General features: G+C 35.4%; 1 protein-coding gene across 41 annotated transcripts in view; it reads left to right on the top strand.

The window, feature by feature from the left end:
- The window catches only part of TPK1 (thiamin pyrophosphokinase 1), a 384,497-nt gene that overhangs the window by 147,097 nt on the left and 222,917 nt on the right, over positions 1-14,483 (top strand). For 34 of the 41 annotated variants that reach the window (NR_146934.1, XR_001744630.2, XM_005249970.2 and 31 more), the window contains one exon: positions 6,363-6,432. The exons of 4 other annotated variants lie outside the window; for them this stretch is intronic. Coding sequence is in view for 26 of the 37 variants with exons in the window: in XM_005249970.2 (XP_005250027.1) it covers positions 6,363-6,432 (70 nt within the window). In the remaining 11 variants the exon portion in view is untranslated. Of the gene's footprint in view, positions 1-3,961; positions 3,983-6,362; positions 6,433-7,476; positions 7,535-14,483 lie in introns of those variants that run through there. 3 more of the 41 variants (NR_146936.2, XM_011516039.3, XM_017011971.2) reach the window with 2 other exon arrangements.

Here is a 14,483-nt window from a genome sequence, read left to right as displayed (position 1 = left end):
TTGTATCTGGAATCATTCTTGCTATATCTTAAGTCTATAACTCTTATTTTTCCTTTTAATTATTACTGTTGGTTTTAAAATTGTAATTACAATATAATTCATATTACTGAGAAAAATATCTTTAACAGCACAGTGATTATTGTAAGTAATTTTTTAAAAAGTCTTTTTCATTATGCCAACCCCATTTCTCATAAATAATCCCTGTTAATGAGTTTGGTGTATGGAATATAGAAGTGGTCTTGTGTTTGGATTAACAAACTAATAAGACATGATAGGCTTTACTCAATGCCAAGTTTAAGGGCACAAGGCAGGTAATAAAGCTTGATAACAAAATTAGTGAGGTCTGTCATTTCACAGTAATTGCTTTCAAATGTACCAGTAAGTCCACATTTTGGATATGCTTTTCCAGGGAAGCCATTGATTTTGGGGTCTCTTTAGTTTTTATCCCTTTGTTTCCTTCGGGGTGCCAGACTAGGGACCATTTTCCAGTGCAGGTGCATCTTATTAATGCTGATGGCCGATTACTTGATCTACAACCTTGACATAAAGACCTTTCCCTGATGCTTTCTTGGATTTGGTATGTTCCTATACCTTCCATGAATTGCTATTGCAAGGAAGATTTGACCAAGGTTATTCAAACTTTAAAAGTAACAATATATCTCATAACAGATAATATACTAATACATATAAGATCTAACGTTTTTGTTGGTAGTAAAATAGGACCATGGTATATTTTATCAGTATTCAGCTGTGGGCAGTATAAGTTTGCTATTAGTTTTTCATGATTACACATACTGTCACAGCAAATATCCTTGTACATATTTCCTTGTAATTTTGGGCAAGTATTTATGCAAGCTACATAGAATTTCTGGATAAAAAGGTAAACACCTTTAAATTTTTTATAAATCTGCCAAACTGTCCCTCAACGTTATAGTCTCATCAACAGCGTGTGAGATAATGTTTCCTCCTGCACCTTCCTTCTACTTTTATTTATGTTGTCTCTCTCTAGTCCCTGAATTTTTGTGTGTGTGATTTTGGTAGGATATACAAAATGATCTTGATTTTGCACTAAAATCAGAATGCTTAGGATTAGCTCAACATCATAGGACTAAGTGGCTGATCTAGACTAGCACTGTCTGTCTCTCGTATTCTTTGAGTTAACTGAAACTGCAGAATCTATTTTGTTTTATTCTCCTACTTTAATATTTGGAACTAATTTATAATCTACTTTGCAGAAAGTGAAGTTATTTCAACTCAACTTTATTCCAAAGAAATAGGGAACTATTTGAAATAGGGAACTAACCTCTGCTTGTGCCTGAAGCTCTTCATTATTTGTCAGTAATGTTAACTTATGCCAAGTAAAAAAAAAAAAAAGTTAAAGATGTATTTCACCTACTTACGGGTTCTACTAAAATATAAAGTTGCTGTAGAGGTTTTTAATATATTTTAGTCTTCATCTGTTTATCAGCCTGTTGCATGGTAAGTAATTGCTCAACCATTGAAGTTATGGTATGTGACAAATCTGCAGAAATTTTGCTGTATAAGCCAATAGAATTTTTACATTAAAAGATAACTCATGCAGTAACTTCTATTCATTAAAGCTTGGGACAACTTAAATGATGATAAAGTGAACTTTTTTTAGGTAGATTCATTACGATTTATCAAAAATTAAAGAATGTCCTCTACTTCTGGTTCCTTTAGTTGGTCACTTTCTCTAACAGTGATATTGGTTTACACATTTTTCAAATGTCGCTGTGTGTGAACTTATGCCAATGTTGTTTACAATGTGTTGGAAACATTTCATTTTTCAAATGCAGTTTTATTTATGTTTATAGAAAATATTTGAAACTGGTGAAAACCTCTTTGTTAATAAAATGAAGGAGAGGTAGAATACATTTTTTTGGTCATGCTTTATTGAAAACAAAATGGTTTTAGGGACAGACTGGAACTTGTTTTTCCTTCCAGATGGATTGAATCCCTACTCTCAACCTACAAGCACTGAGAAAATAGTCTAAACATTTCATCATGCTTATTTTAGCTCCCTTTGCCATTTAAAGCAGGAATAGATGTGGACAAATTTACTTCCTATGATATAGGTGTTTCTCTTTTTATACACTGCTCAAGAAATATCAATTTAAAGGTGGATGTTGGAAATAACAGGCATTAGCGTTTTTTCTATTGTAAAAGTAACAATGATCTTAGCTGAACTGGATTTATTATTAGCAGTTTTACACATTTGCCCGCTGAAATTCATTTCTTCTTTCCTTGTCTTCCTCTTGCATTTTGGTGACTTCTTTACAGCCCTCACCACAGTCTACAGTGCATTGCATGTATTTGCTTCTGTTTTCGTGTTTTTCACTATAATATGAACCCAGAGAACTAGATCTGTTTATTGTTCATCTTTTTATCTTATGTAAGCCTAGCACATAATAGGAATACACGTTGAATTCAACCGATCTTTGCAAAATGGTGTAATGTGAAAAATTGGCAAGTCATTCTATTTGATAATCCTTGACCATTAAAAACTACTATTTCTGAGATTTTCATATTACTTTAGTGAATCGGTTATTACATAAAAATATTCCATACACTTGTTAGTTTTGTTTACAGAGAATTGTTTTATATTCTCTAAAGATAATTACCGATAGTTTACCATCTGTTTCTATTAACGAGTCCTTTCTATCTCCCTAATCACTTGTTTTGTGCTATATTTTATACGTGAAATGATCTCTGTTTTTTAGCTTTTGATGGTTTTGATACTTAGGAAATGTGCGATATCTTCTGTGATCTTCTGCAAGTTATATTTGTGACATAATTTGAATTTGAGTGTCACTCCTTACTAGGAAATGTGTGTTGGTAATTTGTAAAATGAGACATCCCTTTTAGATGTCTTTATAAAAACTCTTATTTTTGTTTTTTATTTTCTAAGTAGATAAGGCTTTTCTTTTCCAGAAACACAATCTTTTCAGATTTTTTTTTCATTCTGACAAAAATGGAAAAAGAGGACTCAATGTTTATTGAATGCTTATTGTATTCTTGTATCGTAATGAGCACTATATATAATCATTAAGTAATTACTTAATAACCTTATTCCATAAGTAATATGCTTATTTACTGGTGAGTAAGCTACAGAGAAAATGAATATTTTTTTTTCCACTTCGCCTCTGCTTTATTTCTCATGTACCATAGAACACAGAAAATAGTCTTACATATCATGGATAAGTGGAAAATACATTGGAACTTTTATTTCTGACAATATAGTCAGGTAGATATTCTTTAAATATCCCATCCATAGGAAAAGGATTTTAAAAAAAAAAAGATAAAAGAAGGTATAGAAAATATTAGCAACAGATTATCAGAAAAGACCTTGAATTGAAAAAAGAATCAAATAGAACTTCTTTAAAAAGAATCAGTAAGACTATAAACTTTAATGTTTTAAACAGGTGACTAGACATAATTGCAAGAGAGGTTTGAAGAAATTACATGCATACACAGAAAGAAAAGGTGATAGAAGCGACACAGTTTAAGAAATGTGACATTAGTGGGTGCAGTGCACCAGCATGGCACATGTATACATATGTAACTAACCTGCACAATGTGCACATGTACCCTAAAACTTAGAGTATAATAAAAAAAAAAAAAAAAGAAAAAAAAAAAAAAAAAAAAAAAAAAAAAGAAATGTGAAGGGCAGAATGAGACTGTCTAAAAATACGTTTAAATGGAGAGTCAGAAAATTGATGCGTAGAGAGAATGGAAGGTAGGAAATAATGGAATTAAAAGTGGCTAAGAATTATCCAGAACTGAAGAAAGTCATGGGTCCTCAGATTTAGGAAGCACATTTTGTTGTTGTTGTTTTTCAGACAGGGTCTGGCTCTGTCGCCTAGGCTGGAGTGCAGTGGTGCCATCTTGGCTTACTGCAGCCTGGACCTCCCCAGGCTCAAGCGATCCTCCAGCTCAGCCTCCTAAGTAGCTGGGACTACAGGTGAGTGCCACCATGCTCAGCTAATTTTTAAAAATTTCTTGTAGAGACAGGGTCGTGCCATGTTGCCCAGGCCGGTCTTGAATTTCTCAGCTCAAGCAGTCCTCCCGCCTTTGCCTCTCAAAGTGCTGGGATTACATTCCTAAGGCCTCCACGCCCAACCTTGGAAGCACAGTTAATTCCAAATAAGCTACACGATGGTGAAATTCGGAAAACTAAAGACAAAGGGAAAGTCTTAAAATTTGCCAAAAAGAGAAAACAGGTTAGATACACAAGAATATTGGACTGACAGCGGCTTTCTGAAAGTATCAGTGTACCAATGGCAATCAGAAGCCAATGTACTAATACCGTCAAATTTACTACCAATTTACAGTATTATTTATACTCAGCTAATCTATTATTCCAGAATGAAGCTGAAGTCATTACATTTGCAGCCACACGGAAGAGGAGTGTCTTTACCACCAAGAGAGGCTCATTAAATGTACATTAAAGCTGGGTGGGGTATGCAGGTGTGAAATGTCAGGAGGTGGTTAGGTCCCCTGCTGAGATTTCGGACCATTCCATCCTATTTCAAATACTTTCATACGACATCTTGCCCTCGTGGGTGGATTAAATTCAGGGGAAATTCCCACAATGGAAACTGTGGATTTTTATTTGTTTAAGTGGTCATTTTCTAGCATCTATTATTTTACAGTTTCTAAAACAAATCATGTGTCACTGATCTTTTTCTAGAGGCTGTACTCATCTGAACTATTTTGTATTTCAAATACCTGAGGAATACATAAGGGAAAGTGGCTGTTTGTTTTCTTTCCCTCAATTCCGCTTACCTGTGCCATTAATTTTAATTTCAAAGAAAAGTAGTTTCTCACTTTGTTTGTCAATTCTGAGAGTGGACTTTAATAAATCGGCTTCTGGCTTATTTGCACTGGTTAGAAGATGCTTAAAGTGGAGACCCTGTCACATTATCTTAGGCCTCTAGCAAAGAACCTGCTAGTTTGATGCCTAACAATGTTCATTCTGAGCTGATGCTAAGATACTAAATATTTCTATGAAGAACAAAACTCAGAAAGGTAGCACCAGCAATAAAAATAGCTTTCCATGGACTGCAAAAACTTCAGGGAGCAGTTGATAAGCAGCATCAAATCCGAGAGCAGTAGCAGGGAGAAATCATGCGAAAGGAGGAGGCCAAGGCCCAAGTTGGAGAGACAGCAGGATTTATTTGATTACCTTAGCATTTCCAAGTTTCAGTTAATTTTGTACCACCTTCACAATTTTTACATTATGCTCATATTATCTAGATTATTATTTACTTATATTTTAAAATAAACATTTATTTTTAAGAGGAAATGTTTTAATCAAAATAAAAATTGAAACCCATACTACATATTGTAAATCAAAAGGATATGTAAAAATTATTAAAAGGAGGGAACACAATGAAAACCATATCCTGCCGGGTGCAGAGGCTCACGCCTGTAATCCCAACACTTTGGGAGTCCAAGGTGGGTGGATCACTTGAGCCCAGGAGTTTGGAACCAGCCTGGGCAAACCCTATCTCTACAAAAAATATAAAAATTAGCAGGATACGGTGGTGTGTGTCTGTAGCCCCAGCTACCTGGGAGACTGAGGTGGGAGGATCACCTGAGTCCAGGAGGTTGAGGCTGCAGTGGGCTGTGATCGAGCCATTGGACTCACGCCTGGGTGACAGCGCAAGACCCTGTCTCAAACTGCAAAAACAACAAACCATTTTCTGTTGCCTGTCATAGAGCCTGAGGCCTATCTTCTGTTATAAAAAGGAAAAAAAATTTCAAGAAACATTGAAGACATGCTAGCACCGTCTACAGTCTTCTCCTTTATTTAATCAAAAAAGATGCAAAGCCTGGGCGCGGTGGCTCATGCCTGTTATCCCAGCACTTTGGGAGGCTGAGGTGGGTGGATCACCTGAGGTCAGGAGTTTGAGACCAGCCTGGCCAATATGGTGAAACCACGTCTCCACTAAAAATACAAAAATATGCTAGGCATGGTGGCGCATGCCTGTAATCCCAGCTACTTGGGAGGCTGAGGCTGGAGAATCTCTAGAACCCGGGAAGTGGAGGTTGCAGTGAGCCGAGATCACACCACTGCACTCCAGCCTGGGCAACAGAGCCAGACTCCATTTCAGGAAAAAAAAAAAAAAAAAGATGCAGAAAGGAAATAAACTTGTCATTTGTCATGTGCAATATAGAATTGTTTTTAGTACCAGCAGTGTCAACAGATGAATGTGAAATGATTCACAGAGGTTAGCGTGACTCTGTGCGTCTGAGTGCCTGCTTTTTAGTGATCATCATTTGAAAGATATTGCTCTGTGCCTCCTGTATTGAAATGATTTTGTTCTTTCTATTTGAAGCTCTTTTAAGAGCCTGTGCCGATGGAGGTGCCAACCGCTTATATGATATCACCGAAGGAGAGAGAGAAAGGTATGCTTTCTTTTAGTCAATGTGCATAGTACCATGAATTTCTGCTCTTCTGTTGTTTTATTTTCTTCTTGTAAGTGGACATTGTTAATTCTCCTTCAGACTCTTTTATAGAAAATCTCCTCAGTGAGGGAAGAGTAACCTGAGCTGCTTAACCATGTTGTATTATTTCTTGCTTTGAATGGTATCTCTTAGTAGAATGAGGCCCATCTATTCTTATTTTAAAAACCTTCATTCTGCTACTTCAAAGCCACATTAAGTAGCATTATCAGATCTTGATACTTGTGAGAACTGTGAAAGTCAGCTTAAATAAAACTTCAAATTGCAATTTGAGATGTTATTCAAACAGTGTAAATGAATGAAAACTGATTTTATATAAAGTAGATGTATATTCCCTCATAGAAAATATGAGATTTTATATTAGTGTTGAGTAAAGCCCAGTATAATTTAACTTAATTATTTCTCAGTTATGCATACACTTATATGTTAAGAGATAAAGAGTTTCCTTAAGATTTACTATCCCTGCTGTCTGATTTGTCTTATCTGTATGCGGTAAGGTATTTTTAGATACGACAGTATGTTTGATGGAAGTAGATTTTAAACCTAGCTCATTGTGAACATGTTTGTAGTCCAAACACCTTGGCAAACACAAGAATTTATAGTGAACATATAAGTAGACTAACTATGAAACATAGTTTCATCTCTATCATATGTGTTATTATATTGAAATGTTTATAGTTTAAGAAATTACCTTCTTGGTGCAAAAAATAAAAACATTATGATGTAACACACTCTAGGTACAAATTAAATATATGTATTTTGAAATAATATATTTTTCTTTATGGGATGAAAAATTCTAACACTGGAGCTGCTTTTTGAAAGCAGCCGGTTTCTTATAGGAGGAAGGCATGTTTCCTTCGAGACTGGACGTGCTAATGCTAATATCTGGGGACTAGATGCATTATCAAAAAGTATAGCAAGAGTGACAGCCAAGAAGACAGTTTAAATTCTTAACATTTTTTGCTCCTTCATTTTGTAACTTTACAGATTCCTCTGACAGTATCCTCCAAGACCTGACATGGACAATGTGTGAAAAAGCGCTCAAGTATGTGTTGTAAAAAAAGGGTCTAGGCCAGTTACTTCAGATAAGAGCATAATGCCCATGAGGCCAAGCTTATGTATTGGGCCTGTAGCCTGCTTGCTGGCAAATAATCTGGTGCCAAGTATTCTCTCATGGCAGGTGTAGCTTGTGAACGTAATTGTAACCACAACTGTGAAAGGATCTCAACACTGTGCCTTCCAAGTGATCTTTGATCATAAGATCTGTCGATAATGCTTGTGAAGAAATATAGACTCTCATATTGATTATTTTTACTGAATTGGAGTGGACACTAATAAAGATAACAGAGCACTTTAAAAAATGATTTCAACTTTTATTTTAGATTCAGGGCATATATATATATATATATATATATATATATATATATATATATATATATATATATATATGTAGTTTTGTTACATGTGTATATTGTGTGATGCTGAAGTTTGGGATATGAATGATCCCGTTACCCAGGTAGTGAGTGTAATATCCAGTAGTTACTTTTTCAACCCCTAACCCCCTCCCTCCCCATTCTCATAGTTACCAGTGTCTATTGTTGCCATCATTATGTACATGAGTACTCAGTGTTTAGCTCCCACTTATAAGTGAGAACATGCAGTATTTGGATTCCTGTTACTGCATTAATTCACTTAGGATAATGGCTTCCAGCTGCATCCATGTTGCTACAAAGCAGATGATTTCAAACAGAACACTTTTATTCATATTTGAAAGCAAAACAGATTACCAGATTTAGGGGGTGAGTACCATTATTTTTGGCCCAAATTTCAAAATAACCACGTGTGATGTTTCTCAACACATTTATAAGTAATCTTATAGAAGTCTTCCAAGAAAATTTATATAATTTAACAACTGTTTGTTCATGTATGAAGATGTTCAATAAAACATTGTACTTTTCATTGATTTTGTAATTGTAATTATGTGTTTGCAATGATTCCTACTCTGATGCCCGGGGACATCGCTGGCCTGGGTGAGGGTAGAATCTCTAATAGGAAGATGAGTGAAACTAACTGTCTCATGTGGGAATTAAGTCCTTGAATCAACCTCTAAATACAAACCCTAACCAGTCAAACTAGTTGGATTCAGGTGACTAAGCATAATTCCTCTTAATTGTATTTCTAATAGAAAGGCATCACAATAAAAAACGAAAAAATATGCATGAGTTTTAAAAAGCCAGTATGTATTTTGTGGACCACTACTTGCCCTGTTCTTATTTATTTACTTAACATCCATATGTACAATGCAATGCCTCATAATTATGTGATAAAACATGAATTTTTAAAGAATCATCTTCAGTTGAAGACAAAATATTTGTACATTTTGAATGGAAGGAAGGAAGACATATAGACAGTAGCAGAGGAACAAAGTTTACAGAGGAGTGGAGCTGAAGGAAAAATCAGTCATGGGACCTTCTCTCCTCTGCTCAGGCTGAGGAGTGGCAGGGCGTGAGGCCCCAGGCCCCGTGTCACTCTGCTTCTGGATACTGCTGGACATTGAGGTCCATCTCTGTCCCTCATGGAGCTAGGGCCCTAGGAGAGCCTGAAGAGGACCCAGGTGTGCTCCAGGCCCCTGCCTGGGCCTGCTGGCCCCTTTACTCTTTCATGGACCCAGAGGGAAAGGGAAGGTTAAAGTGTGGCAGGTGAGGCTGTTGGGACCCATGGGGAGATGTGTGTAGTAAAAAGAAGACTCAGAAAAGGGTATTGGATTTGGCCATAATCAGCAAGTAGAAACATAGTGCCCATTTATCCTGCAGCCCAGAAAGTCCAAGATTAGACAACGGAAGCATAGTTTATGAAGTAGAGGTGATTAATGTTCTTCTGTTACCTGCTTTCAGAGTACTGAATTAGTGCTCCCAAACTCTTGGCTTATACATATTAGATAGGTTTCATTTTATTACAGATATGCAGATATCATTGTTTTCAGTGTTCAAATTGTCTCATCTTTGGCCAATATAAACTTCTTTAAGTTAGATCCTATGTTCTTTTTAAAAAGTTACCTTTGTATACATATATAAAGGTTATATATATGTATACACACATATATATAAATATAAATCATGTGTATTATATAAATCACATATATAAATTATATATATGTAATTTTTAGGCATAGTTAATGTACAATAAAATGCATATCATAGATGTTTAATTACATGGGTTTTGTTAGACATTTATTTACAGCCTCTTATCTACCATCCAAAACGAGAGAGAACATTTCTCTAGCCCCAGAAAATTCCCTCATGATTGATAATCTAGTTTTTTACCCCCAGTCAACTACTTTCTGATTTCCGTTACTATAGAACTTAAAAAAATCTATTACTGAATTTCGAGCAAAATAAATCATATAGTATGTATTCTTTTGTGTCTTTTTTCTTTTGCTCACATGTTTTTGCAATTCATTTATGTATTGGTAGTTCTTTTTTATTGCTCAGTAGTATTTTATTGTATGAATATACCACAATTACATTTGTTTATTCACCAGATGTACATTTGGTTGTTTCCAGTTTTTGGCTATTATGTGTAAATGCCACTTCTTATACAAGGGTTTCTGTGAACATGTTTTAATTTGGGGAAGCAGGTACAAAGAATGAAGTTTCTGGGTAACAGGGTAAATATATATTTAACTTTCTAGAAATTGGCATTTCACTTTTCCAAAGTTGTTATACCATTTTATATTTCCATGAGTAATGTCTGTATTGCTCCATATCCTCACCAATATTTGTTCTTTTTTATCTTTTTGATTTTAGCCATTTAGTGTTTGTGAATGGAATTTGTGATTTTAATTTAAATTTTTCTGATAACTAAGGATGTTGAGCATCTTTTCATGTATTTATTGACCATTGGTATTTCATGACTTGATATATAATAGCTTGTAACACAATTCTTATTTGTTACTTTTATTAATTAAAAAAACAGCTGTGAGCTTAGGTCCAGTTCTATACTAGATGTGTGAAATGCTTGCACACCATCTTTATTAAAATTGTTTTAAAATTGTGGTAACAAAACTTAACATGAGATCTACCTCTTAACAAATTTTCGTGTATAATACATATTGTTGACTACAGATACAGTGTTATACATTAGATCTCCAGAACTTACTCATCTTGCTTAACTGAAAATTTATTCTCATTGATTAGTAACTCCTCATTTCTCACTCTCCTCCACCCCTGGCAACCCCATTCTACAGTTTGATTCTATGAATTTGACTATTTTAGATACCTCAGATGAGATAATCTTGCAGCATTTGTCTGTCTGTGACTGGCTTATTTTATGTAGCATAATGTCCTCAAGGCCATTCCATCTTTCATAAACGTCTGTCTCTGTTTCAACTATGAAAGTAGCCTCTCTTCATTTATCAGGTTTTGTTTTGATAAACAAGCCCTAAATATTTTTTCTTATCGTGAATTGCAGTGTATCTGTTAATATCTATTGGTTCTGACCTGTGGGACAGTAGGACATATGATTAATTTTTCTGTAGTTACTTGTTAAGTGGATGCAAGCTCAGTAAACATAAGCTCCCTGGTGCCATTCAGTATGACAGATTATATGACATAAAGAGAAAATTCTAGTTCAGTGTGATAGATTCTGTAACAAAGGAAGACATGGAGCAAGGACAGTTATATCAGAGTGAAGGTATTAAAAAATATTCTGAGGATCCTAATGGGCTGTAAAAGATTAGGACCATAGAGCATGTGAGGTATACATATGTGTGTGCATTTGTAGCGACTGGGGAGAGGCAGGGAGATTCTCCTTTGTCTCCTGGATGAAATCTCAATTAACTACCTTGAGATGCAGGGTTATCTTTTTAGGCATGCCCAATTTCTTCCCTTGTATTCTGGTCAAGCAGAACTGCTCACTGTCCTAAATTTGCCACGCGCTTTCTCCCCTCTGACTTTCCTCAGGCCCTTTCTCATGGCTGATCTGGTACACATTAGCCCCACCCATAGTCCATTACAATTGTGCAGCCATTCGAAATAATCAGTGATGGTAGATCCTAGGCTGTACTCATTCTTAGATGGTTTCAGCAGCATGTGCCAGCATGTTTTGTAACAGTCGTATCCGTGCATCAGTGTTCAACTAACACACCATGTACTCCAGGAGGGCTCCTCTTCCCTTCCAGCCTGAAGTGATTTGGCATTTCCTACACTGTAATAATACTCTTAAATCACAATGTTACATTCACATTTTACCTTGATTTAAAGCTGTAAAGACTTATATTCTGTACTAGGTTGTAAATTTCTAGTGATCTATTGCCCTTTAACTTTGCATAATACTTTGTAATTATTTACTTTCTTATTTTATCTTGTGATTTAGCTACGGGTAGATGTATCTTCTTCACTAGGTGGTAAACTCCTGGAAGGCAGCAATCATAATTAATCATCTTTATATGCTTCATATCTACTACACTAATGAGCATTTGAGAATTTATTGAATTTGTGATTTTTCCTTGATATGTTAGCAGAGATGTAAAACTGAGTTTTGTTAAGTCAAGGATTTATAAGATACAACACCAGCTATTGGAAGTATCTTGTTGTTAAAGAAACTTTCGATAATTATATATCTTATTAGTATTATAAGCCAGAAATGGCTTATGTCTAAAAAGATTGTGCATTTTTGTCCAAAGTCATGTATAGTATATATCCCACTTATTTCCAGAATATCTTATGTTACGTTGCATTCTAATTCCTGTCTAAATGAATCTTTTGTCCTGGAACTAAGGTCCTGGCTTTTGAATTCATTGGTATTTTGAGAGCAATATGTACCATGAATATCAGTGCTAAATGTGAGGTTTTTTTTTTATTTGTGATTTTGTGGTACTTAGAGATTCTCAGGCTCATCAGCATAACAGTCTAAGAAGTTGCTATATCTTTAATATTGTGTGTAGGATATCTGAAATGTGGGGAGGGGTGTTTTTAGGTTAGTTTTCTCAGAGTAATTAATGAATATAGAATCCTGAATGGAAAGGTCTACAGGAGAGTATCTTTATATAAACATTGTTCAAAGTTAGCTCAACTGTTTAGGAGTTTTCTTTCTCTTTAAATATGAGCACCTAACAAAAATTCCTAGCACTCATGGAAATGACGACATAATTAAACACTCATTACCAATGGCAGGATGACGAGGGCCTATTTAAACCGAAAAGCAAAATACGTTCTTGATCTCTTTTTCCTCTCACTTCATTAATTTTCTCACAGTTAAAATTTCGGTCTTTGAGCTTTATATAATCATGCAACTTACTCATCAGATCAATCTACTTTTTAGATTAATCAAGTGTGAAGAGGATGACTGTTGTAACTCTAACTCTACAACTATTTGTGCCCCAGCTAAATGAAGTTCAAAATATAATTAAAATAACTGAATAATGTGGGAGGAGAGCTCTTAAGAATTAGCTTCTAGGCTGGGTGTGGTGGCTCACACCTGTAATCCCAGCTCTTTGGGAGGCTGAGGCGGGCGGATCACGAGGTCGGGAGATCAAGACCATGCTGGCTAACACGGTGAAACCCCGTCTCCACTAAAAATACAAAAACTTAGCTGGGCATGGTGGTGGGCGCCTGTAGTCCCAGCTACTTGGGAGGCTGAGGCAGGAGAATGGCGTGAACCTGGGAGGCGGAGCTTGCAGTGAGCCGAGATCGTGCCACTGCACTCCAGCCTGGGTGACGGAACGAGACTCCGTCTCAAAAAAAAAAAAAAAAAAAAAAAAAAAAAGAATTAGCTTCTAAAGCCTTTATCAATACAATTAACCCAGGCATCTGGTAGTAGCAAGTGTCTGATTACTCTTGAAGGAATCAGTGAATCAGTGACAGTCTAAGTCTGGCTACCTGTGAGTAACTTTGAACAATTTTGTTTTATTTCATTGCAGGTAGCAGCACCCTCCAGAAGGGACATTATGTAGTCAGAGAGTTAGATTAAGGTTCAAAATCGGGTTCTGCCACTTCATTACTTTTAGCAAGTAATTTAACTTTTTGGGCTGTAGTTTCTTCATCTGTGACGTTTCAGGAAGAGATCACTTTCTTTTGGAGTATTCAGAGAAATCTTGATGAGGTAACATTACTGTGGCTGATTACAGAAGATCTGGATAAATCAAGAGGATGGAGCATGGCTCTTAAAAGCTATAATGATAAATTATTGAATAGTTCAGCATGTACCTGATGTAGTTTTAGGCCATAGCTGTAAATATTTTTGTCATGGTTAACTATTCTGAATGTAATAATTGTATTACTTTTCAGAAACGTTGTAAGCATTTTTCAGATAGTGGTTGGCATATAGGAAGGTAGTGTTTGGCATCTGATTTCTTTTGTTTTAAATCCACTTTGTTTAGCTATAATTTCATACAACAAAATTCATCCACTTTAAACATACAGTTCAATTATTTTTGAAGCGTTATATAGTTGTGTACCCACCACCACAGTCGAGATTAAAACACGTCCATCATCCCAGAAAGTTCCTACCTCCCGCTTTGCAGTCATTCGCCTCCTCCCACACCGTGTCCCCTGTAGACTTCTAGAATGTCATACAAATGAAATCACACAATTTGTTGTCTTTTCTGTTATTTTTCACTTATCAAATGCTTTTGAGATTCATCCGTGTTATTTTATTCATCCATGTATTTTATGTATTTATTATGTTATTTTATGTAGTTTGTTCCTTTTTGCTGTCGAGTAGTGTTCCAGTATATGCGTATACCACAATTTTCTTTCTTTATTTTACACAGTTGATGAACCTGATTTCTAAAAGTTGCCTTTTTGTTGAAATTTGTTATCATTTTTTTATGTGCTTCTTTGGAATACATGTTCTTTTAGTTGGAACAAAGCAAAATTCTCAGTGTTTTCAACTCAATCCTAGACATTATATAAAATAGTAGTAAAGACTTATATGTAAGGTCTATATTTGCTATATCTTAGTAAAAAGTATATAAAAGCTTGTTCAATTCTGTT

This window comes from Homo sapiens, chromosome 7, assembly GCF_000001405.40.
Source record: "Homo sapiens chromosome 7, GRCh38.p14 Primary Assembly".
Lineage (NCBI taxonomy): Eukaryota > Metazoa > Chordata > Mammalia > Primates > Hominidae > Homo > Homo sapiens.
This window is presented reverse-complemented; position numbering and strand designations above follow the sequence as displayed.